The sequence below is a fragment of the Homo sapiens genome, chromosome X, assembly GCF_000001405.40.
Source record: "Homo sapiens chromosome X, GRCh38.p14 Primary Assembly".
Lineage (NCBI taxonomy): Eukaryota > Metazoa > Chordata > Mammalia > Primates > Hominidae > Homo > Homo sapiens.
Genome location: NC_000023.11, coordinates 17,577,184 through 17,605,095, shown reverse-complemented (window position 1 = coordinate 17,605,095; position 27,912 = coordinate 17,577,184). Strand labels below are relative to the sequence as shown.

Below are 27,912 nucleotides of genomic sequence, written 5' to 3'. Positions count from 1 at the left end.
AGATGCCCCTTTATGTCAGTGTAAGAGCAGAGGAGAATATCCACGATGTTGTCTTTAAAACCCACCTCAGAATGTAAACAGACATGCCTTCATCTTTCTCAAGTCAAACTGGGAGGCATCAGGCACCTCCTGCCCCAACCTGAATTGCCCTTGAATGTTTTATTGGGGTTGGGCTACAGTTGTGAGACACCCGAGGGTGAGCCAGCTTTGACATTTCTTCATCTGATTTGGTCATTTATCTAATGTGAGGGACCTCAAATCATCAGGATGCATTTTACATTCTCATATGACCCTGGGTCCAGAGGTAATCAGGACCAGCTGGTGCTTGGCTTACTCAGGTTTAGAGGAAGCATTCATTCATGCATGCATGCATTCATTCACCCAACAATCAAATAACAAATACCTATGCTACATGCTGATGATGGTGACCTCAAAGAGTCCTCAAGGAGTTCCTGGCCTCAAGACCTTAATTATTCAGATACCTGGTTACCCTTGGTCAACAACTCCTTCTCCCCTTCTTCCTCTTAAATAGTCCCAGAAATTCCTCATTCCTAGAGGCATGGCCTGCCTGCCCTATAAAGGATCGCTGTTGCAGGAAGTTACTTTCTAAAACAGCATCTCTGAAAATGTGTTTTATAGAACCCAATCCCAAATGTGGTAACAGAGCTGCATCTTCCAATGAGTTTAGAAAACCCTTCATGTTTGATCCTCTTTGAGAGAGTTATAATGTACTTCAGGATATTAAAGGCTTTGATAGGTTCTGCAATAAAGAAACCCATTTTATTTTTAAATCATCCAGTTTTCTCAAACTTTTTGGACCACATTAATGTGTGTGTGTGTGTGTGTGTGTGTGTGTGTGTGTGTGTGATCTATTAATATCCTGAGGAAACCATGTAGTTTGGGAGACACTTTATTAAAGCAATGTACCATTAACTTGATATAAACAACTCTTATCTGGAGATGTAATTTATTAATATATATTTGTGCTACATAAAATACCTTGTATTTGTACACTATTATTAACTGATACATTTTAAAACTATTATTTAAAAGAATATTAATAATATTTTATTATGAGGACACAGATATTGTTTAAGTGATATTCATAAGGTCCCAGAGTAGTATGATATGGGGTAAAGATAAGAGGTCATCAAAGAGGCAAACTCATAGCCCTTCAGGAATCTGTAGTCTTCCTTTCAATGACTATGAGAGGTAATTGAAATCAAGCTAATAGCACCTGGGCCAATGCTATGGGCAAAAGAAGTTTCCATAGCTTATTAAAATATGTGCCCCCTCTTACTGCCACTCTAGCTTTGGGTGTAAATCAGACTTAAGGCTTAAGAGGCTTACTGACTTGGCTATGAAAGCAGTAATGTTAAGGTGGTGTTGAGCCACGGTGTGAAGTCATAGAAACACCTTTTAGCACTTATAACTCTATTTTATTATGTTCTTTGTTTGAACCATTAATAATGAGTATGTGAATAAATGAAGAAATGTCTAACTGTATAGTAGGTTTGGTAGGCATTGGTGAGAAGCTGTAGATTCTGGAAAGAGAAAAAAAAAGCAAATTCCTTTTGTTCTATTTTCTGAGCTCTGAAATGTCTTGGAGAGAGATTTGAAATGGTTACAAGAATCAATTCAGTATCTCCAAATGAAGCCAGTATGTTTCGTCTGAGACTATTCTGGCTCTTGGCCACCGTATTTCTTGAATTCACTCTTCAGAAAGAAGGAAAGTAGTTTATCTTGATTTAAACCCCCAAGCCTAAAATCACCGTTGCTAAATTCCAAAGAAAAGAAATACAAATGTGTGCACAAATGCACATAAAAATGGAAATTAAAAGTTTAACAAATTTCTCATGTTAACAGCAGCTGGGCTGTTGCCAAGTAGCCTCATGTTCTAAGGGCCCCCCCATACACACACACAGAAGAAACCCCACTTAAAGAATTATAGGCTGGTTGCAGCAGCTCACACCTGTAATCCCAACACTTTGGAAGGTGAAAGTGGGAGGACCACTTGAGACTGGGAGTCGGAAACTAGCCTGGTCAACATACCAAGACCTTGTCTCTACAAAAGAAAAATTTTACAAATTAGCTGGGCGTGGTGGTACATGCCTGTAACCCCAGCTATTCAGGAGGCTGAGGCAGGAGGATCACCCGATCCCAGGAGTTAGAAGCTGCGGTGAGCTATGACCACAGCACTGCATTCCAGCCTGGGTGACAGAGCAAGACCCCGTCTTTAAAAAAAAAAAAAAAAAAAAAAATTGTAGTTGTGCCCCATAAATATCCACAATTATTATTTGTCTATTAAAAGTTTAAAAATGTAAAAAAAAAGAACCATAAACATTGCCTTCTGTCTTTGAACCTTTCTCTTTCCCTAAATACTGTTCTCAGTTCTCAGAGAAAAAAAAAAAGTCAAAGTTAACTTGCTTAGTAAAGCAGCAAGCCACTTGCAGCATCCATGCTAGGCTACTCCATACTGTTTTCCATGCAAGGTCATAGGTATCTCACTAGGATATTTATCTCCTCTCCATTTGCAGCAAATACACTACCTTTCTCTAGCAGTGTCCCATTGGCACCTTCCAGAGACTCACTCCTTTCTTAGAGTATAGTGGGCCCTCTCCAGTTGAGCAATCTCCCCTTTTCATCCTTGAAAGCCTGCCCCACCCAATTTCTGAGGCACAGTAGGAAACATTGTCAGTTATTACCAAAGACCAGAGGCCATGTGGATGGAAGGGGTGATTCTTCATCTCTTCCCTGCCTTACCAGTTCTAAGCACTCAGTATGCTTTCCTGGGAAGATTCTAAAATGATTTCTCAGATTATCACCTAGTTCACCAAGGAATGCCTTGAGAGCCACATAGGTTTGGTTCTCTGTTTTTTTGTTTGTTTGTTTGTTTGTTGTTGTTGTTGTTGTGTGTGTGATCAGTTCTTATGCCTGATCTCACCAATCCTATTCCTTAGGAATCCTAGCTTGCATTATTTAGAAGGAGGAATTGTTTGCTGTTTTAATCAACAGCTCTCCACAGGAGGACTTTGGTTGCAATCCTCTTATCTTCCTGGCATGCACTGACACCTCACATTTATATGTTAAAGCCAAGTTTGTAAGAGAACGTGTTGAAAAGTGACTCTCAAGGTTAAATAACAATAGTTGGGAACTTGATCTGAGCTTCTAAATAAGCTTTGTGACTTTAGACAGTGACTTAATGCCTCTGAGTTTATATGTCCTTTTATGTAAAAGAGGCTAGTATCTCTCACAGTGTTTCCCAGAGTATCGAGGGTGGGATCGAATGAAGCACCAGTGAACAGCAAACCTTTAAAAACTAAGTCGTTATATTCCTCCCAGGCTGAAATGTTTCTATGAATTATCGTTTGCGGACTGTGCTCCTTAAGCCACTTGAAAAATCTACATGAGACTGCTAGTATCCAAGCCAATCTGGATGAATTTCCACACAAGATTTCCTAGGACACCATAGAAACATCTTTTAAAGCTCTAGACATAATGTTCTTCTTCCTTGTCCAACAGTTACATAAGTTTTTAAGGATGATGGCTCCTTTCCATCATCAAATCCATTTGTCTTGATTTAAGATGTGGAAACTGCCCATCATAAACAGTTCCACCACACCTAGAATCTTTTAGTATTTTCCTCCATGTTTATTCCTTACTTTGAGAACAAAATAATGTTCTTTTTCTGGCCTGTTATTGACAAGATTGTGCTTTACCTCCTATAAATGACAAATGCTCTACAGAGTCATCTCTCCACTTGACAACCTTCCTGCTTCTCCATGATTTCGCAAAACACAATTGGCAAGAAACACAATGTCCATTTCTCTTCCTCACCTAGGTATTCATCCATCAAACCTGCTGAATCTACAAGTTTGGGTTTTCCAAGCAGCTTTTAAAAAATTAATTCCATACCCTTCCTCTCCTTCATAACCTATTGCCACCATCCCCTCCAATGCCACCCCCTCTATGGTTTTACCACTTCTTAATTAGTTACAATGCTAGCACCTATAATGGCTTTCCTGTTGTTTCCATGAGAATTTATCGGTGACTTACTTTCTCCCAAGTTCTTTATGTTTCTCCGTACCCTGAAACCAGTCTGACAAATTGCTTGTTTTAGAGTCCCTTTATATTTGTTCCTAGAGGTTTGATCTTGGCATTTATTATTATATGACTGGCACCTTGCCTTGAGGGCCATCATGCCAGATAATAGTACCAGAGTGGAAAAGCTCACAAGCTCCCACTCATATTCTCATTCTCTCCTTTCTCTCTCCTTCTCTCCTTCCTTCTCGCTCCCCCACCCAACCTTTCTGTGTTTTTTCCCTGCCTTATTTTCCTCCTTCCTTTCCTCCCTCCCCCACTCACCATTCACTGAACTAACTCTCTCCAAATTCCACCTCTCCATGAATAGAGCCTGACAATACCAGACAGCTGAGATCTACTGGAAAATACTAAAAATAATTGCCTTTTGTTATTAAAGTCAGATTTGGGGCTGCTGTTCCCTCCTAGGAATTTGTACAGTTTCCTGCAAGGATTCAGAGGTCCATACCCTAGTGCTGTTTTTAGAATGCAAAGGGCTATTTCAATAAACATGCCACTAAATTGACGGCGTCGTCTTAAATTAACGTATATTGTTTCTTGTCCCATTTAGCTGTGGCTGACGCTTTTTTGGAATTTTCCATTGGAATATTTTACACACTGATCTCTTCTTGCTGTCCTCCACACCCTGTCTGACATTCAAGCTCCTTTTGAGATGCCAAAGAGCCACAATCCCCAACTCACTCTCTCTCTCTCTCTCTCTCTCTCTCTGTCTCTCTCTGTCTCAGCTGCCTTGCCCCCTGGGGTTGGCAGCATCATTTAACTTTTCCAGCGCAAACTTTTTTATTCAAGGTCTTGGGAAACCTAACTCAAGAGTCATCCTCCTTAGAACTCTGGTATTGACAGGCGGCCTTTTTATCCATATACCTTTACATTATTAAAATCAGAACTAAATTAGTGTCTTAGTACTAGCTGCCCAGCCCAGAAAATGATATGCCCCCTAGACTTAAAATATTACAGGCATTTATTGGGCTTGCTTTCCTATGTCTAAAACATAGGTTATCAGGCTTTAGGATGTATTAGAACCACCTGAAATTTCTTGATCAAAAGGCACATTCTTGGTCTGCATCTCCAGAGGTTTTGATTCTTAGTGTGGGGAGGGGCACAAGAATGGACATTTAAATAGGAGCCCCACTGATACAGAATGATCATCATAAAGGTTTATGCTAGGTAACAACTTCCCTGCATCAACTGGTGGTTTTGACTTTATCCAGCAAAGAACGGTACTAGAGTCATCAACCCATCCCGTTAAATAATGTAACTGGCAAACTGTTATCTAATGGTCCTCATTTTATATAAAAGACATTAACATTGTTATTCATTTTTTGGATGTGTTTGCAATTTAAAAATAATTATGTGAATGATAATATATTAGTATATATAATATATCAGTATATAATATATTAGTACTGGTTCATGAGTTGTTAAGAAATGTACCATACTAATGTAAGATGTTAATAGGGTGGGAGATATATGGGAGCTGTCTTTACTATCATCTCAATTTTTCTGTAAATCTAAATCTGTGGTAAAAAATAAAGTCTATTTTTCTTAAAACAGAAGAAAGCAAAAAAAAAATTCTGCCACCCACCAGAATGGTTATAAATTAAAAGACAGAAGATTCCAAATGTTAGCAAAACTGGAACTCTTGCACACTGCTGGTGGGATTGTGAATTGGTGCCCCCACTCTGGAAAACTGCTTGGCAGTGCCTGTGAAAGCAGAATATTTGTTTACCCTATGGCTGTGTGCTTCTGGGTATATACTCAATGGAACTATATCCATGTGTTCACCAAAAGATGTGTATATAGCAGCATTCTCTGTAAAGTCCCAAACTGGATATTAGCAAAATGCCCATCAATAATGGAATTCATAAATCACTTGTGATATGTTCAGAAAATGAAATACTACAAAGCAACAAAAAGAAGGAAATTTGAACTATACTCAACAACCAGGGTGATGCAGAGGGAAAGAAATCAGACACAAGAGAAAGTAGGCTGTATTATTCCACTTATACAAGTTCAAAAAACAGTTCAAACTAATCAATGAAGGAAAAATCAGTATACGGGTTATCCTTGGGGTGGGGAGTGAAATGAAGGGGCTCTTCTGGGGCCAGTGATCTTTGGGGTTTTTTTGTGAGGAGAGTAGGTACTTAGGTGTGTTCAGTTTGTGAAAATTCAAGGAAGTGTACACTTAGGATTTGTGCATTTTTCTATATGTATACCATTTTATGAAAGCAATCCACGTTTTCTTTGGGGAAAGAAAGGTCAATATAGTGAATATAGAAAGGGTCAATACAGTGAATATAGACTCTAAACTAGATTGCCTTGGTTCAAATCCCAGGTTTACCACCTGTAAGCTGCATGACCCTAGGGAAGCCATGAAGCCTTTTTCACCTGTATGCCCTTATCTGTGAAGTGAGGATAATGATAGTACCTTTGTTGTGGGTTGTTGTGACAATCTAATAGGTTAATATTTGTACAACGCTAGTGTAAGGCACAGGGTAGGCATCATATAAGTGTTTTTTAAATAAAAGTTTTCTTTGTGGGGGCACACTTAAAAATGTCTTTTGATGATCACTAACTACTTTAAAGGAGACTAAAGAAGAGTTAAGGAAATAAGAAAGGAGTTAAACTTATTTCCTAGGCAGCATTCTTGCTTATGAGGGAAAAATATTATCTTGGCGCCTGGCCAGTTAATTCTGTTCTTCTTGACTTGGAGTCTGGACTCCCAACAGGCTCCGGGCATTGGTCCAGAGGCTTGACAACGAGCCACATCTGGGACTGCCAGGAACTGCCACAAAAGAGTCCGCCCAAGAAGGCCTGTTGGAATTGCTGGGGAGGGAGAGTGCCATCCAGTCAGGACCCATGCCAGGACACAGCCCCCTGAGTCTACCTGCTGGGTAGGGCAGGCCCTGAACCCTGGCCTTTCCTCTAGCTCCCAGTCAGAACCTTCCCTTCCATCACAGGTCTCCTCCAAAAAGAGCTGACTAAGACAGGGCTGCATTCATAGACAGGAAAAGAAAAGAAAGAGAAGAGAGAGAATCAAGCAGGAGTGTCCTACCCTCCTAGAAATGAGCCTGCGATCATTCTGGGCACCCTCTCTCGCTTGGGTTTGTTCTTCACTGAACATCCCTAGTGAATGAGGAGCCTGAGGAGTGTCTCCTTTTACAGGCAACCTCCAGAGTCCACCACAATCAGGTACCCGCGGTGTGGCTCGACCCACTCTTCCTCTCCCTGTTACTTTCTGACACAGCTGGCTCTTCAATCAAAGCTGAGTTCCCTCTTATCTAATCCTTTGCTTTAGGAAGTTTAACTCACCCTCTAAAGCCTGTGCCTGGAAAAAAAATAAACCCAAATGAGAACAATTTTTATCTCCCATTATGAGTGGAAGTGAATCTCCTCTAGCTTGGCAACTCTCCAGGAATATCCCACTAATTTTTAAGTCATTTCTAGCCTGCTCTCTTCTTTTGCTCTTTCTCCAGCTCTCTTCCAAATGCTCACTGAGGAAGAGTGTATCCCTTGTCCCTACCCCTGCCAGTTTTTTGTTTTTTCTTAAAAAAAAAAAAAAAAGAGAATAGCCAGGCGCGGTGGCTCACGCTTGTAATCCCAGCACTTTGGGAGGCCGAGGTGGGCGGATCACGAGGTCAGGAGATCGAGATCATCCTGGCTAACACAGTGAAACCCCGTCTCTACGAAAAATACAAAAAAATAAAATTAGCCAGGCATGGTAGCGGGCGCCTGTAGTCCCAGCTATTTGGGAGGCTGAGGCAGGAGAATGGCGTGAACCCGGGAGGCGGAGCTTGCACTGAGCCGAGATCGCGCCATTGCATTCCAGCCTGGGTGACAGAGCAAGACTCCGTATCAAAAAAAAAAAAAAAAAAAAACGGAAGAATAGTCTTAAGTTCCTGAAGCCGTGTATGACACACTGGCTAGTTTTACACCAAAACATTTCCCTTTACACCTTGGGCACACAGATGACTCTATTTCCCAGCCTCCCTTGCATGTTAGTGGGGCCACGTGACAGTTCTGGCCAGAATATAGGTGGGCCCATAAAACCTCCACGCTATCCTCCACACTTTCTCTTTGCCTCATCTGCAGTCTGGATGCAGTAGCTGAGGTGGACTTGGAGGCCTTAGGGCACAGGGAAGTCATAAAATGGAAGGAGCCTGGGAGTCTGAATGCCTGCGTGGAACACAGGTCCTGATCCCTCACTTCCCCACTCCCATGCCTGGAATGTGACATGAACAAGAAATAAACTTTGTGTGAAGCCCCTGAGACTTGGAGTGGCTGGCACTGACTAATATACCAAATTCCAGACTCTCAAACTTTCTACAAACTGGAATACCACATTCCTCTCTCCCAATGGTTCCCTGTGCAGTCATCTTTGACCTCTCTGCATGGTAGGCCAAACCTGGAGCATGAACACCAAAATCCCACATCCTAACCCTTAACCTTTGACCTTGGTTCATGCTTCAACTTTTAATTTGGTTTCCTGCCTGTTGATTAAAATATATTTGTTGGAAGTGAATTGAAAGTCTCAGAAATGGTGCCTGTTATTTCCATAACTGAGTCTTCAAGCCATATGCTCTGTGTATCCATCTGGGCATGTCTGGGATATTTGAATTAGTCCCATTGGCTGCATTGTAGACAAGCAAGCAAAGAGATTGGAAGCTGCCAAGTCCCTCTATGATAGACAGGTCCTCCCAAGCCATCCTTCCCATTCTAAGGAAGAACAATTACAAGCACATTACTAAGAACAAGCCATTCATCATCCAGACTTTGCCTCTGTCTTGACTTGCATCCATAGTGACAAGATACAGGCAGTTTTGTGGTAAACAGAGGCTGTCACAGACCTACAGACTGAAAAACTGAGTGAATTTGTTTGGCTTTGTGAGATTTGAAGCTACCAGATTTCAATAAATAGTGGTGAGTACAAAAAATCTTCATCTTTTTTTTTTTGGAGGGAGGGAGTAGGTAAGCAAATTGTCTGTAATTTAACTCCAGCCCAGGGCTCTGAACATCCTTCAGTAAGTTCTTATTTGGTGGGAAATTGGAACTCCTAGAGCCATATAAATTCACTTTTCCGCTATTAAAGAACCAACACAAGTAACTGTTTGACTCAAGTTAACATTCACTCCTTGGAATAGATGATAAGTAAATATTTACCCACTGGCATAGCTGTTGAGTAATTGCCCATTAAAGAAGTTAAATGTTAATCACTTATTTCTGGACTGAATAATTTCAACAAGATCCTATGACTAATCCATAAAGTCTAAAGGCAAGAAAAAAGCCCACATCCGTTTATTTCTTTCAGTCTTGACCATACAGGAAAGGCCTACTCTTAGGAATGTCTCAAGTTAGAGTCATAACCAGTTTTCACTCCCTTAGCACTCAAAGCCAGCTAGCTAATTGCCTTTTCATTGTTCTGCGCCCAAAGAAACCTTGACCCCAGGTTAAGTATTAACAAGATTTGAGAGGGAAGGGTTGGACAGGAGTTTAGAGAGAATATGAGGGACATCTAAACTAAGAGGAGAAATAAAACCTGGAGATAGAAGACAGAAGATGTCATGAGGTTGGCTGTCCTACATCAAAGGGAAGTGTGCATGATAAATGCCATTAAAGTCAAAACCCTAGGGCAGATGTTGCCACATTAAATCTCAGCTGAGACAGAGGAGGACTTCAGCAGCAGATGGCTCACAAAGAATGGGTAGGGAAAGTGTCTATACCATCAGTCTCATGGAAAGGATCCTTGCTTGGTACCCACTCTTCAGGATCAAAGAATGAGCTTGCAGGTGAGCTATCTGCACCCAGCAAGGCAGCCTGCATCTGAATGAGAAGAGCCAAAATCCCTACAGAACTTCTACATATATTCCATGTCAGCAGGAACATATATAGCAGCTTGGTGGGTGTAGTGGCTGCTGTTGATATCCACCCAGATCCCCTTAACTCTGGTGGAATCCTCCTCCCCACCAGCTATGAGTGTTGGCTGCTAAAAGCAACTCACTTCTCTGGAGAATTGCCCTTGGCCAATGGGAATCATCTAGCTCAGAAGGTGATTCCTCCTCTCCCAGAGGCAGCCCATAGCTAATGACTGGCTGATAGCATGGTACAAAAGGCCAGTGCCCTACTTCAAGGTGGGATCAACTCTGTGGTGCAATTCCTGCTGCAGTGAGATTGCACTGTAGCTAGTCTTTAGCTAAGGCCACAAACTTGCTTAGAACTTTTCCCCAGTCACAGCCTGCTTCCCTTATGCCCCTTCTGAGAGGACGCTCTCAATGAAGGGCGTGCACAAGAATCAATGTCTCAGTGTCTTCTCCTGTTCTGTTTGCTTCTTTTTCTGAACCTAAACAAAGACAATAGGACAGGCAAGACCTTCAGTCTCCCCCACTGCCTCCGAATTGCCTTAGAATTTGTTGACAGAGATTGCCTGGACAGGTGGAATAGCCTGATCCCAGGGGTACCCCAGGCAGAACGGAGACAGAGTAACCCACCTTACTCCTTCCAACCAATGACTGAATTCCACTTGGAGGAGAAGCCTTGGCGTGTAAGACTGCCAGGTACCTCTATCTTCCCTTTACTGATCCATGCCCTCCCTCACCTGCCACCCACCCTCTCATAGATATCCAAGCAAAGACTCCCTTTCTTCCATTGGACTTTCTTCTGCCTTTGAGTTAGTGACCCCCTTCCTCACTTCTACACTGGCGTGTTTTTTGTTTTTGGTTTTGGTTTTGGTTTTGTTTTGCTTTTGCTATAGGAATGCTTACATTGCATGGTGTACCAGAAAGAGCATGGACTTATTATATAAAGTGGGTAAACACGGGCCAGTTATTCAACTTTTCTGAACATAGATTTCTTCATCTGTAAAGTGGTGTTAATAAGACCTACCTCACAGAGTTGTTGGGAAGATTAAATAATATAAAAACTAGATGTTCATTGTATCCTACCTGGTACACAATAGGTACTCAGTGGTAGACTATCTGGTATATAGTAGGTGCTTCTCCTTAGTGGAGACTTCAAAAAAGGACAAACAGGTATGAAAAAGAAACTGAAAAAGAAAACTCTACTCTTAGCACACACAGACACACAGGCATCCCGCTTCAGGTCAGTTTCCTCCATCCATCCATCCATCCACCTACTTTCCCATCCATCTGTCCATCTACTCATCCATTCATCAAAAAACCCCTCGAAACCTTAGTATCCCTTGTGAGCCAGGTATTGTGGATACAGAAGTAAAACAGACATAGACATAGACATGTAAGAAGTTTACAGCTCATTGCTGACAATAGCTGCATACCTCTACCTTTGGGAATCCAGGGGTACCTGGATGGAGGTGGAAACAGGAGATCAGGGGCTCAGTTCCACACTGATAAGTCGTTTATTCTTGAAGTCCTTCCTGTGTGAAGGATTCTTGCATTCTCCTATCAAAACAACTAGGTATCCCTTGAGATTTGATGGGAAATCATCCCCATTAAGTTGCTGCAGCCTGAAAGAGACCCCCAAACTACCAAGTTCTAAGAAATTGGGACTTCTTGGCTGGTCTTCCCCATGTGCCTGAAGAGCTCCTGTTTTCCTGAAGACCAAAGGAATGGTGACTCCAAAATATGTTCCTTCCCAGTGGGCCCACTGGAATCCACTGGGATTCTTAATCTGCTTACTATATTAATAATAAAAGCAGGAATGCTTATCAAGGCCAAATAGGGTTCTAGGTGCTTGACATATATGTTAATTTCTCATGGTGGCAGCAACTCTGGGAGGTGAGTGTTGTATCCTCATTTTATAGCGGAGGGGACTGTTGACATCAGAGAGGTTAAGTGACTTAAGGTTTACAAATGGAGTAAGAGTCATAACTTGAACTCATATCCTACTTCAAAGCCTGTGCTCATTTTAATTTTGTGCCATGATGTTTCAATAAGTATGCTCTTACATTACATGCTGCTGCTTTTCTCTGCCACTTACTTGTTGAATGTCCTTGGCCAAGCTTGTTTCCTTCTTCTTTTAAAAATTTTTTTTGGAAAAATGTTCAGGTTTTTATTATGGTGAATGATGAATTTTTAACATACCCCAAAGTAGATAGAACTTTACCATGAAATTCCACATACCCATCACACACATGTAACAACCATCTAGGGCCCATCTGCCCTGTCTATACCCCCTGCACTTCTTCCTTCCCAGCTTGGCAGTGTCAAAAATCAAACCCCATTGGTCTGCCTCCAAAACCCTCCACCAAGCTGGTCCTTGCTTTGTCCTAGCACTGGGCTTTATTATAACATTCCTAAGGTCCACTTAAAATTATCATTTCCTGGCACATTTCTCTTTTTTTAAAAAGTCATTGTCAAAATGAATAAATTTGATAGAACATTCAAATGGACTATAGAGAACATTTCAGGGCTTATCCTCAGATTTCCATTTGCCAGGCAAAGTTCGAAGGTGCCATTATTAAACTACCTTGGTGATTGTTGAGACGATGTTAAAATGGGATAGAATTCAAAGCTCTTTTGCTCCAGCAAACAGAAATATATAACCAAGTCGCTGGCTTGCCAATTGGGGAGCACAAGTTGTTCCTTTTCTTCCCCTTAATTACCTCTCAATGGAACATTCTAGAATACCCAGGGGGTAAGTTTCCACTAATCTTCAGGCCTCTTTAAAACCTAGGGCTGACACAAAAGCTAAATATAGAACAATATTCTACAAACAAAGTCCTGAGTCTAAGGACCCAAATGAGTCAGACATTGTTTTCAATCATGGCTTACAAAGAAAGTAGCCTAAATTGTGCTAATGGCTCCAACACCTCTGGATAGTATTATACTGAAGTACAAAAGACACAGAAGATCATCTCCAAGGAATGTATAATATGGTTGAGTCTATGGACTATGCCTAAATAAAATGACAGAGATAGACAGGTATACAGTGATTATTACAGTGACTGCACACTATTATACATATGTGTATTTGCATGCACATGTACACACACACACACACACACACACACATCAGTGGACCACTCCATCTCAGATGCACAGTCGCAGTATGATGCAAACACACAGAAACACAAGACTATCCAGGAACCACGAGAGTCAGAAGCTTTAGTTTTGGTTTCAAGTTGGCCACCTCAGATAAAGGCAGCCGGAGGGAAATGAGGGAGCCTGCTGGACAATATTCTCAAGATTGGAAATATATTCCATTCCCGGTTCAGCCAGTAATGAGTCATTTCTTTCAGCAAGCTCTGTCTCAGTCTTTTTGTTTTTAAGACTCCTTCCATTCTATGATGCTATAAAGACCCACTTGAAAAACAACCAGCAAGGTCAATTTCACACAGTATGGATTTGTGGGGCAAGCAGTGTGATCCGGGGTCACACATTAGTTGGTGCACCTCGGGCAATTTATTACACAGTTTAAAACTACGCAGTGTCAAGTGAGTTTGACCTGGGCACGAAGGCAGAAAGCATACCTATTCTATGTGAAATTTTAAGGGCAGGGTGGAGGATTCTGTCTTCATACCAAATACCATGGAAATAATAGAGACAGATGTTTTCCTACCCATTATAAGGGCTTAAAATGTAATCTGCAAGTATGCATCGGCTTCTGATCTCGGCTAGTAGATCTTGGGTTTGGTTGTGGAAGTGCAAAAATTGCTGCGTTGACACCCTTTGGCCACCAGAGAGCTCCCTGCATCCAACCAGGGGTGCCTATTGGATCAGCAAGCACAAGTTTGCAAAATGCAGGGTGCCCTCCCTACGACCTAGAGCACAGATTCTATTGCTATCTCTTACACCAGCAAAATCCACTCATTTTCTCCATCAACAGTAACTCTGGCCTTGTCCTTTTGCCTTTTACAATGTGGGACTTGATGTATTCAGGAGGCAGAGGATTAACATGGGTACCAGGTTCCACATAGGACAAATGATTCCCCAGCTGTGGGGTAAAAGAAGTCCTGGCCTTCAGATTTATGTGTTGCTTATGGCTACCAGAGCCAGTGACTATATGGAACACAGTACTCAAGAAAACTTCTTTTTATAGGTTTTATTTGGTGGCGATTTTCTTTTTCTATTCAAGTGGAAAAATATAAACTAGTATAAAGAAGAAAATGATGATAATCCATCATTCCACCATCTCAGAGAAAATTACTAAGATTTGGACATAGTTCCTTTCATCTTCTTGGTTTTTCTTTGTATGTGTGTGTTGGGGGGGATGTGTGTGTATTCTTACATAGTTGGAGTCCATTTGTATTCTGACATTTTTGGTAATTTTTCTAACCTGATATGATATTTTCTCTTAATTTTATAAGTGTTTTCCACATCATTACATGCACAATGCAAGACAGCTTGGAGAATTCAGAGGCACAGAAGAAAATAAAAAACCCTTGTTTTTTCAGTACCCAGAGATAATCATTTTCACATTTTGGCATTTTACTGCCAGTCATTTTTCCATTTATGGTGTTTGTTTTTATAAAACTGGGACTATACTATATATACTGTTTTATAGACTGCCCTTTTTAAATAATTTTATATAACAACCATTTCCTCCATATCATTAAATATCTTCCCAAAACATGATTTTTAATATCTGGGTAATACTAAAAACCATGAATGGAGCTTAATTCATTTAATAAATTGTCTGTTGTTGATCATTTGTGATGAATCCAATGTTATTTATTCCAGATAGCACCAAGATGAACAACTTTATACTAATCGTATCCTATCATATCATCATAGATGGTCCACCTAGCATAAGCTTTTAGATTTTGAATTACCAGATCAAAGGGTTCGAACATTTTCAAAAGACAGATTCCAACTGCCACACAGTCCCCCAGAAATGTATCATTTCATATTCCCATTAGGAATATATGAGAATCTCTGTCTCATCACACCCTCACCCATGCTGGGGATCACCAATTTAAAAAATGTTTGCCCATTTGATACATACACACTTGCACACACACAGAGAGTTATTTCTCATTGAACATTTAAAACTTCATGTATTGCTCTCAAACAAGGACATGAATAGACAATTCTCAAAAGAAGATATACAAATGACCAACAAACACATGAAAAAAATGCTCAACATCACTGATGATCAGGGAAATGCAAATCAAAACCACAATCCAATACCATCTTACTCCTGCAAGAATGGGCATAATCAAAAAAATATAAAAAATAATAGACATTGGCATGGATGCAGTGAAAACAGAACACTTCTACACTGCTGGTGGGAATGTAAACTAGTATAACCACTATGGAAAACAGTGTGGAGATTCCTTAAAGAACTAAAAGTAGATCTACCATTTGATACAGCAATCCCACTACTGGGTATGTACCCAGAAGAAAATAAGTCATATGAAAAAGATACTCACTCACGCATGTTTATAGCAGCACAATTCGCAATTGCAAAAATAGGGAACCAACCCAAATGTCCATCAGTCAACGAGTGGAGAAAGAAAATGTTACCCACATACACACATACATACCATGGAATACCATGGAATGCTACTCAGCCATAAAAAGGAACAAAATGATGGCATTCGCAGCTACCTGGATGAGATTGGAGACTATTATTCTAAGTGATGTAACTCAGGAATGGAAAACCAAACATCGTATGTTCTTACTTATAAGTGGGAGCTAAGCTATGAGGATGCAAAGGCATAAGAATGACACAATGGATTTTGGGGACTCAGGAGTAAAAAGAGTGGGAAGGTGGGGAGGGATAAAGGACTTCAAATTGGGTTCAGTATATACTGCTCAGGTGATGGGTGTACCAAAATCTCACAAATCACCACTAAAGAACTTACTTGTGTAACCAAATGCCACCTGTTCCCCAAAAACCTATGGAAATAAAAAATTAAAAAATAAAAATAAAACTTCATGTATTGGCCATTTGTATTTCTTCTTTTGTGAATTATTGAGAACCTAGTAAGTATCTAACACTGTGCTATGTGTTGAAAAACAATTATCACTAAATCTTCCAAGAAACCTGGAAGACAGGTACTATAATCTCAATTTTGCAGGTGAGGAAACTGAGACTTAAAGATGTTGTGTCTTCTCAAGGTCACACAGCAAGAAAATGACAAAGTTTGGCTTCAAATGCAGATCCGTGATTCCCAATCTCATGCTCTGCCTACAATACCACATTGCCTCCCTGAGAAATTTTTGAAATGTATTTTTATAGAGGAGATAAGATTAAAGAACCCTGCTATATCTGTACAAGAAATGTTGAGACTGTTAATATCTATGTAACTTCTACTCTGAAGGTTTAAACAAAAAAGGGATGAAAGAACAATGGAGATCATTTTATGTTTACAGAGTCCAACTGCCTCACTTTCACAGATGAAGATCCTGAAACCCTGATGAGTTAAATGACTTGCTAGGTCGTGAGGTTTGACCAAAAAATGGGGAAAAAGGGCAAAAAAAAAAAATCCCCCACAAACAGCACAATAACTTGATAAGCTCTTTCGTGAGTCTATGCTTTGCACATTTCTCTCTGTCATCCACCTGATGACTCAGCTAAGCTGTCAGGTCCTCTACAAAACCTCCCATTATTTTTAAGGCAGAATTGACTGTCTCTGTCTTCTGTATGCATCTGTACTACAGCGCTTACTGTATTATGTAGCAGAGATGTCCAACTGGCCAACAAAATTTTTTAATCCCTTCCATAGTCTTGAGCTGCTGATGGAAAGTAGCTGCAGAGCCAGACTGGATTTCCAGGCACCCTCTCCCCAACCCTGGCATCTAGGAGTGGCCATGTGACTTATTTTTGTGAATGCTATGTGGGAGCATAGATCTCCTACCATACTGCACCCCTCCCCAGACCCTGACTTGCTTACTGCTTTTGAACCGTGTTATTTTGGAATATGATGCTTAGAACAAGGCAACCATGTTGCAATCACAAGACAAGCCTAAGAACACAAAGCCAACATGCTGAGAATGACCAAGCAAAAGAATGGGAAGAGACAACCCTAGAACCATCTACATTCAGGCATTATATTTTGTAAGACAATCTTTATCATTGGAGCCACCATTACTATGGTATTCTGTCCTTGAAGTTAAAAGCCATCCCGCTGTAGTCTCTGATTACTCGCCTCTGTCTTTCACAAGATCATTAGCTTTCAGGACATCCTTCATATCTAATTCATCTTTGTATCCTTGTTCCCTAGGTCTATTATAGAGCCTTACAAGGCTTCAACAAACATTTGCTGAATCAAATCCACCAATGATATTCAATTTTGGTAAAAGATTATGCTATGACCAAATAATTCTTGATTTTCACTGGTCAATTTCTCTAAGAACCTATTTGCTTAAAACCACTCTTCCAACTGTGGCTCCAGGAAGCTCTCTGCCGTTCACACAGCCCTGTACAGAATTTCCTAGGCTAGGATTCATTTACTGCTTGTTAATTAGTCAAGTGCTGAGTGCACCACAGGACTCATTTTTACATTATTCGCACAATTGCGTAATTAGCATTTTAAAAGGTTTTCTAGGAGGCTGGCCCAAGTAAGTTTATCTTGAAAAATGTCACAAAAGGAAAAGAATAATTAACAAATCAGTTCCCAAGCAGATTTAGTGGACAACTGGCTTCAGCCCGAAAGGCACTGCATGGAGGACTGGCTTCTAGTTCATGGCCAAAGAACGCATCTTCGCTGGACTGAAACTGGAAGGGGTTCTCAACCCTGTTCCCAGAGCAGCAGACCTGGTGAGGAAGGGAAGGAACACTCTGTGCTTGGTGGTGTTACGTGGTTTTTAGACTACTCAGTTTGACAATTAACTGAGGGCGCCTGTTCAATTTATTCCAACTAATTGGACAGTTACCAGTTTGGTAGTTTGTTTTTGGAAGAAGCTTAAGAAGTGCATGAGAGAGATCTCATTTTTATTAAGTGAAAAAAATGTGTATTCTTTAATGTAGATGGCAGTTGCCTCATAAATTAATTAATCAATGGATTAATATATGTCAATGTATTTCTATCTTCTCCTAGAAACCCCAACTTACTAAATCAGCATTGTCCCAGGTATTGGGAAATTCAGTTTTTAGGCCTCTTCTCTTCTATAATTCATGAAAAACCTAGGTGACTATAGCAAGTCACTTTAGAAGTTAAGAGAAAATCGTGATACCATTTCCTGCCCTGTCAATCTCAGAGGGTTCAAAAAATAATAACAAGCCTGTGTAAAGCCTACAGCACAGCCAAGAAAGTTTTTTCAGGGCTGCTCTGCCATTTTGGCCACAGAGAAGGAGCATCCATGCTTCCCATGGTGCTTCAGCCAGCAGTCCTTTGCTTATGGCATCTCTGCCCAGCTTCCCAAGACCTGGTGGATGGGCAGGGTTGATTAGAGGGCTGGGCTAAGGAAGTCATGGATTCTAGTCCTACCAGGGGTCAAGCAACATTAGCAACATTCTCAGATCTTCGATAAATCCTGTGTTTGCTCACAGAAGGTGGCCAAGGAGCATGTGGTTAAAAAGGAGAATCTGATCTGTTTATTGAAAAAGCAAGTGACAAAGTGTCCTGTCCTTCTGTCAATCCCATGTGGGTTCCCAGCTACATTTTCTCTCAGGCATCTTATTATTATTAAATGCTCTGTGGTGACTATAATTGTATGCTTTCCTTTGTATGTGTTTGAGCAGCTTTTACATGTGTGCTTTGGGTTTTCTTTGGATCTAAGTACCTTTAGGGCGGTGGCTTGTTTTCTGATGTTCTTGTAGCCATTCTCAGTTGGCACATCCAGAGAAGAGAGTCTGCAGTATACAAAGGACAGACACTCCCACACTCACCCAACCCACAGCACCTCATTGTCACTGCTCTCAGACCACCAACATGGTTCTGTAAGACAAGAACTTCCAGACCCATATTCTTAAATAGATAAGAGGGGGCACAGAGAGGTTAAGTAACTTGTCCCAGGCCCCAGAGCTGGTTGGTGGCAGAACCAAGACAAGGAGATGGGTGCTCTGACTCTACCACTGGACTTTTTGAATTAAATTGTGTGATAACAAATACACTCCTGGTTTTGAAAAGAGAAAAAAAAGCATCTCCAGTCTGGTCCCGCCTTTTGCCAGATGACTTCGAGGTTCTTCTCATTTCTTCTGCTTTCTGTGTACAAACAACCACAGAGACACACTCTTATTATTTTTTTATAATGAAATTGGCAAAATAAACAGTTCTTTTTTTCACTTCATAAAAAAAACCCTAAAACCTCAATCGATCTTCCATCAGCTCATCTAGAATGTGATTTTTGTTCTAAGTCAGTCTGAGTTATTATTATTATTATTATTATTATTATTACTATTATTTTTGGTCATAAATCCCCCATGATATCCCTGGGAGGTGGGGCCTCCTCTGGATGGTGGCATCTGTAGGAAGGCTGCAGGTGCTTCCAAGGGAAGGAATAGCTTTACCTGGGGGACCCCTCCTCAGAGCAAAAGGCCCATTCCAGGTATTCTCCTCTCTTATTGAAGAGAGCAACCATGAAGAAAATCTAACCACACTGGATCCCAATGGATCTTTAGAAAACCAAACAGAGGGCCCTGCTTCTTCACTCACATCGCCCCATCCTGGGTGAAAATGCTGCTGGCAAAACACTGCTCATTGATGTTTGCCATACCCCTAAAGGTCTGAATCTAAGAAACATGTACTCAGCACTGATATACAGAAAAAGCACATACTACTCACAACAATAGCTAATAGTAGTTTAGCCCAGAAAATGTCAGATATTGCACTAAATCCTCACAACCACCCTATGAAGTAAGTGCTAATATTGTCTCACTTTTACAGATGAGGAAACAGGCACAGAGAAGTTAGGTAACCAGTCCAACGACACACAGCTAGAGCAATAATAAATAATGATTAACTCTAAGGAACAGTTTGGAGACGGGCTACTTTCCACTTTTAAAAAACTGTAGTCCAGGCACGGTGGCTCATGCCTATAATCCCTGCACTTTGGGAGGCCCAGGCAGGAGGATCATTTGAGGCCAGGGGTTCAAGACCAGCCTGAGCAACATAACTAGACCCTGTCTCTATCCTCACGAAAATAAATAAAAATTGTATGCATTACTGTTTATTATTTTTTTAGCCACAAGCAACTGCATTACTTCTGCAATTAAAAAGGATGTTGCAAGCTATAAAGTCAGCCTAATTCAGACTACATGAAAAAAAAAGCTAAGTTCCTATATTGATAACAATATTTTAAAAGAAAGTATAGCTCTCGTCTTTAAGTGTTGAAGCCAGGCCAACCAAGTACCACCCAGTAAGGTTTTCTAGGGAGACTATTTGTTTGTGAAAAGGTATTGAAAAAGGGGACCTCAAGTGACTGGGGATGCTTAAAATGCTTCATCTTCTGAGGCATTTTAAATATTCTCCCAGCTTTCCCAGCATTACTCATTTTCTAGTCCTTGGTGAATCAACATCCCAAATTCCACACTAGTGGCTCTGGTCTAACAAGGTTTGTTCATATCACAAGAACAGAGTAGCTGAATAAAATTCATGAATTACTGCCAAATCCAACGTTTATCTTTGATGCCACCGCCTTTTGCAAAAACAGAACTTTGTGTGGCAGCTGCCACGAGACACTGATGGTGAACAAACACCAATAGGAGGCCCACCAAGGCAGCAGGCAAGAGGAAAAGGAGAAACAAGACACCCAGCTTCTCTGCCCAGAAAGCAGGAGCAGTAGCCACCCGAGTAGCTGGGTTGTGTGCCCCACCCTGCCCTCCCTCCCCAGGGAAGGGGTGGCCTCTCCTTTGTCCTCCCTCCTCAGAGCCTCTGAGGGGTATGAAAGTCGAAACCCAGAGGAAGTTCAACAGTGTCAGGATGCAATTACTCAGGAAGGACAGACTTCTTTTGAGAGTCTCTAATTTTCAAATCAGAGAATCTAGAAAACTCGGCAGCTCAAACTCTCCTCACTGCCCATCATACCCCCATAAGGAAAGCTTCTGGTCTTCTTACAGAGACACAGGACTGCCTGTCTCAGCAAACAAATTATCCACTTCGATCAGGGCTTCCTCTATGCCAACTCCCAACCCTCTCAGAAAACAGAGCAGGAAAAAGAGACAGAGAGAGAGGAAGAAGAATCAGGGACATCTGCTGGTTGCCACATCCATTTGCATAATTGGATTAATAAGCTCCATTTTGGAAATGGCCTAAATATATTTTTACATGAACATTGTTCTAAAACCTCATTAAGATTCAATTTACAACCCACCAAATAGCAGAAAACTTTCACTAGAGCTATGATATTATCCCCAGTCAAACCTAACAAAGGAAAGTATACAGGGAAATCCTACAATAATTTGTGGACATCTCTGGCTTAAACGTGAAGTGGGGCAGGGTGAGGCAAGGTGGGATGGCATGAAGACTGACTTTCCTTCGTTTCCTTCGGGAGTTGCTTATCTGCTGAGGGAATTCCTCCTCGCAACAGCCAGTCCAAATCTAGGTCTTCCGAATTCACCTGTGTCATTCCTTTGGCGGAAATAATTTGTTTGGGTGGCCACGTCTGGTGGGCATTTCAAGGCTGAATTAGTTTTGCTTAAGATTAACTACTCCAGATCATTCCCTTGAACACAAGATACCTTGTTTAGGGAGGAAGGAGAGAGGATTGATTTGTGTAAACACCTGGAAGTTGGGAGGCTCGTTACATCATCCTCAGAGGATCCATCAATACCAAATGAATGAATGGAGTTGGAGGCATTACTTGTTATGGGATGGATTTGCAGTATCCTTCCCATAGCACTTACCGCCACCTGACATAGTTCATTATCTCCCTCTCTTCCCTAGGATATAAGCTCTCTGAGCTCAAGGACCTTATCTGACTTGCAAACCCCTGTATCTCCTGCACCTAGAATTATGTACACAGTGGCCAAGAAATATTTGTTGATTAGCTATGCAAGATCATTGGAAAGTGGCACTCCAAATGACATGTAGAAACAGCCTGGTGGAATGTTCTACCCCAAAAGTTATAAAACATCCAGATTCTTCCCAGAGCAGTTAAACTCCAACTCATGATAGAAAGACCAAACCAATGACTCAATCAGTAGGTTGGCATATGGTCCCAGTGGGAGCCAAGGCAGGGCTTCAATGCCCATACCATCCTGACCCAGTTAACTCAGACTCACAGCTGGCTATGGCCCCTCCTAACTTGGCATCCATTTTACATACCTGTGTGCATATGTGTATGGGTATGAATGTCTGCCTGTGAGCACACACTTATACAATCTGGGTTTTATTATCTTTATTTTAAAGAACAGGAAACTGAGGCACACGAAGGCCAAGTGACTTGACCTAGGTCGTGCTGCAGGAAGGTTGCAGAGGCAGGATTCACCCCTGAGCACTTAGCCCCCATTGCAGCCACCTAGAATGTGGGGAAACACACCATGCATCTAAAAGGCTTCTCTGTGCAGAGTCAGGTTGTATCCTAGCAGGCCCAGGGAGCGCACTGTCCTCCATGTCTGAAGAGCTCTAGCATATCCAAGAAAAGGCCAAGGACTCTCTCTTCTCAAAGCCACCAGAGGAGCAGTTCCTATCATTCCCTCATCCACCTCCTAACTGGACAACCCCTCTCACTTCTAGGTATGGATGGAGTTGAAGAAAACCCTGCTACACAACCTTGCTTTTACCCCCTATGGTGTTTCAGCCTTTCTTGGAAAATAAATATATCAATTCTTAGTTATCCCTCTTCAGTGACAAGAAACAAGGAAAGCTACAGAATTTTGTAAAATCTCCTTTTGGCCAGCATTTCAACTTCCCTTTGTACCAAATCTTCCTCCCAGAAACACCCTCAGGCAACAGAACAAATGGTTGATTGAAGTTTTATTTCTTCGCCCCATTTCTCCAATGCTGGGTTTTAAAAGTAGGGAAATAGCTAAAAAGCAGGTAATGGAAGAGAAAAGAGAAAGTAAGTGAGGAAACTGAATAAATTTGAGGCCTCCATAACAGCTCCCGAAAACCCAACTGAATTATCTGATTTTAATTCAATGGCCGGACGGGACCAGCTCAGTAGCCCCATCAAGAAAGGGAGTGTGGAGGCAGGGCCCTTGGTGACTTTCAGCAGAGCCAATGGCACAACTTTCTCACTCTGCAATTCTGGAATCTTTTTTGTTTCTTTTTTGGAAGAGAGATTAACGTCACTAAATAATAGAAGACCTACATTCTTGAAAGTTTAATGACTGTCCTACATCAAGCAGCTGTCAAATTTCCTTGCTTGTTTTCCTGACAAAGTGTTTCATTCCAAACGTTCGCAGGAGATCTTGCCTTCATCAGTTTCAAGTCACCACGAAGGGGAAGGTGAAAGGCAGCCCTAGAAAGCAGGAAATCCCAATTTCCTAATTAACCTGTTAATTCCAAAGGCCAGCCTGCCTTTCCTCCAAGCGATTCCACAGAAAGCACAGAGTGGAGAATAAACCAGCTGCAGCAGCCTTATTTTACTCTGTTGGAATTATTAGCCAGCTACAGATGGCCTCATTTTACTCTGTTGGAATTATTAGCCAATTCCAACACACTTCTCCTGTGTGTCTTTGACTTCTCTCCCTTCCTTCAGTTCCCTTCATGGCTGGTGGTCCCAATGCCCAAAACACCCTCTGCAGTGGCCCCTGTGTCTTCTCAGCTGGATTCTTTAGCTTGGCTCCCCCACCTCCAGTCTCTCTTCCCATTTCTGGGGGACCCTCTACCATCAACTCTTGGGTGCAAGCCTCCATTGTTTCCTCAATATCAGTTCTCCACCTTCTTTCCCAGTCATAGACGTGGCCCAGTTCTCTCTCCACACTTTCACTCCTCTCCAGGAACAATACGAGGAATAGATGTTGCCAGAATTAACCTGAGCCCTGTCCTCTCACATTCTGATGTCACCCTGTGAAGAGGGATATTGGAGTTACCCCTTGCTTCCTGTCTCCCTGGTAACCTCATCCAGAGTCACAGCCTTGAGATCACATCTGCATGGTCCCAGGAGGCAAGAGAAGGTGAAACTCAGATTTCCCCACTGTGCTCGAGAGCCACCCCATGCCCTTGAAACTAATGATTAAGCTTCACTTTTAATTACAGGGGAATTTGAACGAGGCATACTCTCCAACTTCCTCACTGCCCTCCCCGCCCCAGTGGTCCTGGCTACAGCAAGGTTGCCCATTAAAGTTCAACTGGACTTCAATCAGAGAGTTCCCGACATGCATGCTTCATTCATTGAACATTTACTTCTTCATGTATACTGCTAGCCAAGCTCTAGTTATGAGTAAAGAAGTCAATGTGAGCAAAGAATTCCATCTGGAGAGAAGACAGACATTTGTTTCCTGTCCTTAGTGACTATTAATAGCATTAGCTTCTCCTTGGAGACTGACTTGGGAAATGAGAAGGGGGAGTGGCTATCTTGCAGGAGCAACAAATCACAGCATCAAGCTCCACACTCTGTCCTCCGCAGGAGACAGAAAAGCTACTGCTAACCCTAGTTAACACTGCAACCAGTTCCCCACGCCTCCCACTGCTGAGCTCCTGTGCTCAGTGTTCGGCTAGACTGCTTTATTTCATAGCAGTTATCCATTTCTAACATACTATCTACTTTATCTATTCATTACATTTATTGTTTCTTCTCTGCCCCCTCCCACTAGAGAAAGAGGGAAGGGACTTTCTCTGCTTTGTTCACTAAGATCATCCCAGTACCCAGGATAGTGTGTGGTACGTAGTAGGTGCTCAATTAATACTTGTTGAATAGCTTAATGAAAATTAGCAGCTGAAGACACCTTAGCTTTTAGTACCTAAAGAGAACTGTACATCCCAAACTAGTGTATGGCATTAAAGAATGCTCAAATGAAGGGTTTTATGATAGCTCTACAGTCCATCTTTTCCCTTCTTTTTTTTTTTTCTGGCATTTGGAGAGAGTGGGGAAAGGGGCAGGATAATGACTATCATTGGTGAAATATTTTTAGGTCTTTGTCTTATTTTGAGTTCCCCAAAAGAGCAGACCTTGAAAGGATGATTCAGGTGCATGATTTGGGTAATTCTAGGAAGGCCAGAAAGAAATGGGGGGATGTGAGACAGGGAAGGGAAGGATGCCAGTACAAGCCACTTTGGGCAATTGGGACTCCATCCTGCTGGGGACCCTCTGAGGGAGAGTAGAGAACACATCTCACCAAGGCCGGGAGGAATCTAGGGTATTCTCCCACCAAATCATCCCCCTCACCCAACTTTGGTTGCCAGTTACTCTGCAGCAGGGTGGAGTGGGTGTTGAATACTTTCCTGAAGCCCAGAGAAAGCCTTCAGACAGAGAGACTGCAATTCTTGAGGTGAGAAACTAGGTGTGTAGCCAATTTCCACTGAGCTACAGGTGACCACCGACTGGACCAAGGGGATAGGGGCAGGGCACTCATAGTATCTGCTACAGTTCTTCACTGTTTCCGTCTGGATCCGCTATGCCTGCGTAAAGAGGGGGTAATTGGTTTTGTTCTTTGTTAGTTGGCATGTCCGCCTGTCCCTCATTAGCCTGGTTGCCTGATGTTTAGATTTTTCCTCTCTTCATCAATAAAGGCAATTAAAGTGTTTCCTTTGGGGATAAAAAGGAGAGGGAGAGGGGGAGCAGGGGGAGAGAGAGAGAGAGAATGGAATCCTATAGTGCTTGAAAAAGGCAGGAGAAGCAAGGCTGCATTCAAATCAAAATAGCATCAGGAAAAAATGCCTACAGAAAGTTCCGCTTTTTCTCATTCATTGTTAACACACTAAAATAAAGCACTCTATAAATACGAAGGACTAGGATGTTTGGAGAGCATCAACCTACTCAAGTTTAAAACATGACACACATTCCTGAGGAGCTAACTGTAAATTGTGTCATGTACTGAGAATTATTTTTTTCACTTTTTACTTGCTTTAAAACGCAAGACTTCCCGGCCAGAATGATATGATCAGGGGAAATGTTTCTTGCCTAGAAATGGCAATAAATGTTTAAAAGGAATTTGAATTTCACCAGGCTTACAAATCCGAATTTGATTTCCTGCAACTGAACTTTTGGCTGAGATAATTTACTGAGTGAGTTACTTGATTTTCCACTACAACACACCTTTTTGTACACTGGTACACACTCACACACATACACACACACTCACACACATGCGCACAGAGTCAGGGGGTGGGAGCATTATCCTTTGACTCCAATAAAGCGCTTCAAACACCCTCTCCAACACTGCAGGAGATGAGAGCAGTGCCGCAAGATACTAGCGAACACTTATTGAGCACTTACTATATGCCAGGTACAGTTGTAAACAGGTTTTTCTTTGTTTGTGGAAATACAATCTGCTCATGAAATATCTTGGACAGATAGATCTAAGAACTGGCTATTTACCAGTTTTGATTATTTTATAACACCAATTGAATTTCTGCCATATGTGAGAAAACAGTCCAGCCTTACTTCTTGTTGCTAATGGCTGTTATTACACATGAAACTATACTGTTTACACTCTTGAGTATTTCGATATATAGGAACTCACTGAATCCATACACCCTATGCAGCCAGTTACTATTCCAGCCCCACTTCACAGAGAAGGAAACTAAAACACAGAGAAGTTAAATGACTTCCTCAAGATCACTTAACCTATAGGTGGCAGAGACAGAATTGGAACCCCGGCAGTTGGGCCTCGAGCCTACTTTCTTAGCTAACTAACCCAATGCTGGGATGCAGGAGGCATCTACCTCTACCCACATGTAACCTTGATGAAGGATATACCTCTTGGGCCTCAGCACCCACAACTAAGAACTCAGATTATTCTTCATAGTTACTGAGAATATACAATTTTCTGATCATTTCCAACATCTGGAAAATGCTAAAAGTCTTTAACATGAGGTATTGGATGTTGGCATAATTAAAGAACATCATTAACCACAGGATTGTTCAGAGAAGCTGTTATAGCCTCTATTGTGTACACCCTTCAAGAGCATTTATGAAATGCTTACTACATATTTAACAAACATATTTTATATTATTTCTAGGACAAGAATGGTGCTAGTTTCATGGCTAGCACAGTAACACCTAACAGGCACTCACACAAACAAGTTTGTTGAATGAATGAATGAATAGCTGGAAGTTATATCAGGGCATATATGTTCTATTAAACTGCAGAACTATAGTACTGGAGGAGTCCTTAGAAACATTCTCATTTAACCACCCTGCCAAAACACTCCTATCCCTTTTTAAAGATGAGAAAATGGAAAGAGTTTGATGAAGTACAGAAAGTAGAGGAAGGGAGACAAGACAGAATGAGGTAGACACAGACAGGCTTCTAACTCTGAGTCAGTTTCCATATTTCTTCATTATTATCTTTAGAGCCAACTTTCAGCATGTCAGCCAATAAACCAGGAACACTTTCCAAAGTCAAATGTGAATGATTTCTGAGGTGTTGGCAGGTTTTTTTGGCCACCTTCTATTAGTATGAAAAATTGAGGTTTTCAATTTAAAGTGGGTATTTCAATTTAAAGTGGATATTTAATCCACTTTAGATCAAATGTTAAAATTCAGGTGGCTAAGGGCATATAGATGTTTGACTCTAAGCCTGGTGTAAGACATTCATCATATTCCATTTTCCAATTTAGGCACATAATATAAGAGGCATTTGATCTAATAAAAATGAAGAAGATTCAACTCATGACTTCTATAGCAAACTATCAGTAACCCGAGAAATACAAAGCACAGAGGTTCCAGGTGCCTGGCATCTCCAAAAGTCGCCTTTATTTTCTTGTGCATTTGAACCTTTTCTCAAATTAAGTCCATGAGGATTTGAATGGATCCATCATAATTCCCTAGGCTCCTAGTTATCTTTCATGAATTCTGATTATGGTTCATAAAAATGTATAATCTACTTCATTAAGACACTAGG

At 41.4% G+C, this 27,912-nt stretch overlaps 1 protein-coding gene and 1 long non-coding RNA gene across 3 annotated transcripts in view; both read right to left on the bottom strand.

The window, feature by feature from the left end:
- The window catches only part of NHS (NHS actin remodeling regulator), a 360,795-nt gene that overhangs the window by 130,899 nt on the left and 201,984 nt on the right, over nt 1-27,912 (bottom strand). The window lies entirely within an intron of this gene.
- Nucleotides 17,936-27,912, bottom strand: part of LOC101928389 (uncharacterized) — a 58,726-nt gene continuing 48,749 nt past the window's right edge. The window contains exon 2 of the long non-coding RNA NR_135631.1: nt 17,936-19,165. This is a non-coding gene — a long non-coding RNA (uncharacterized LOC101928389). The remainder of the gene's footprint in view (nt 19,166-27,912) is intronic.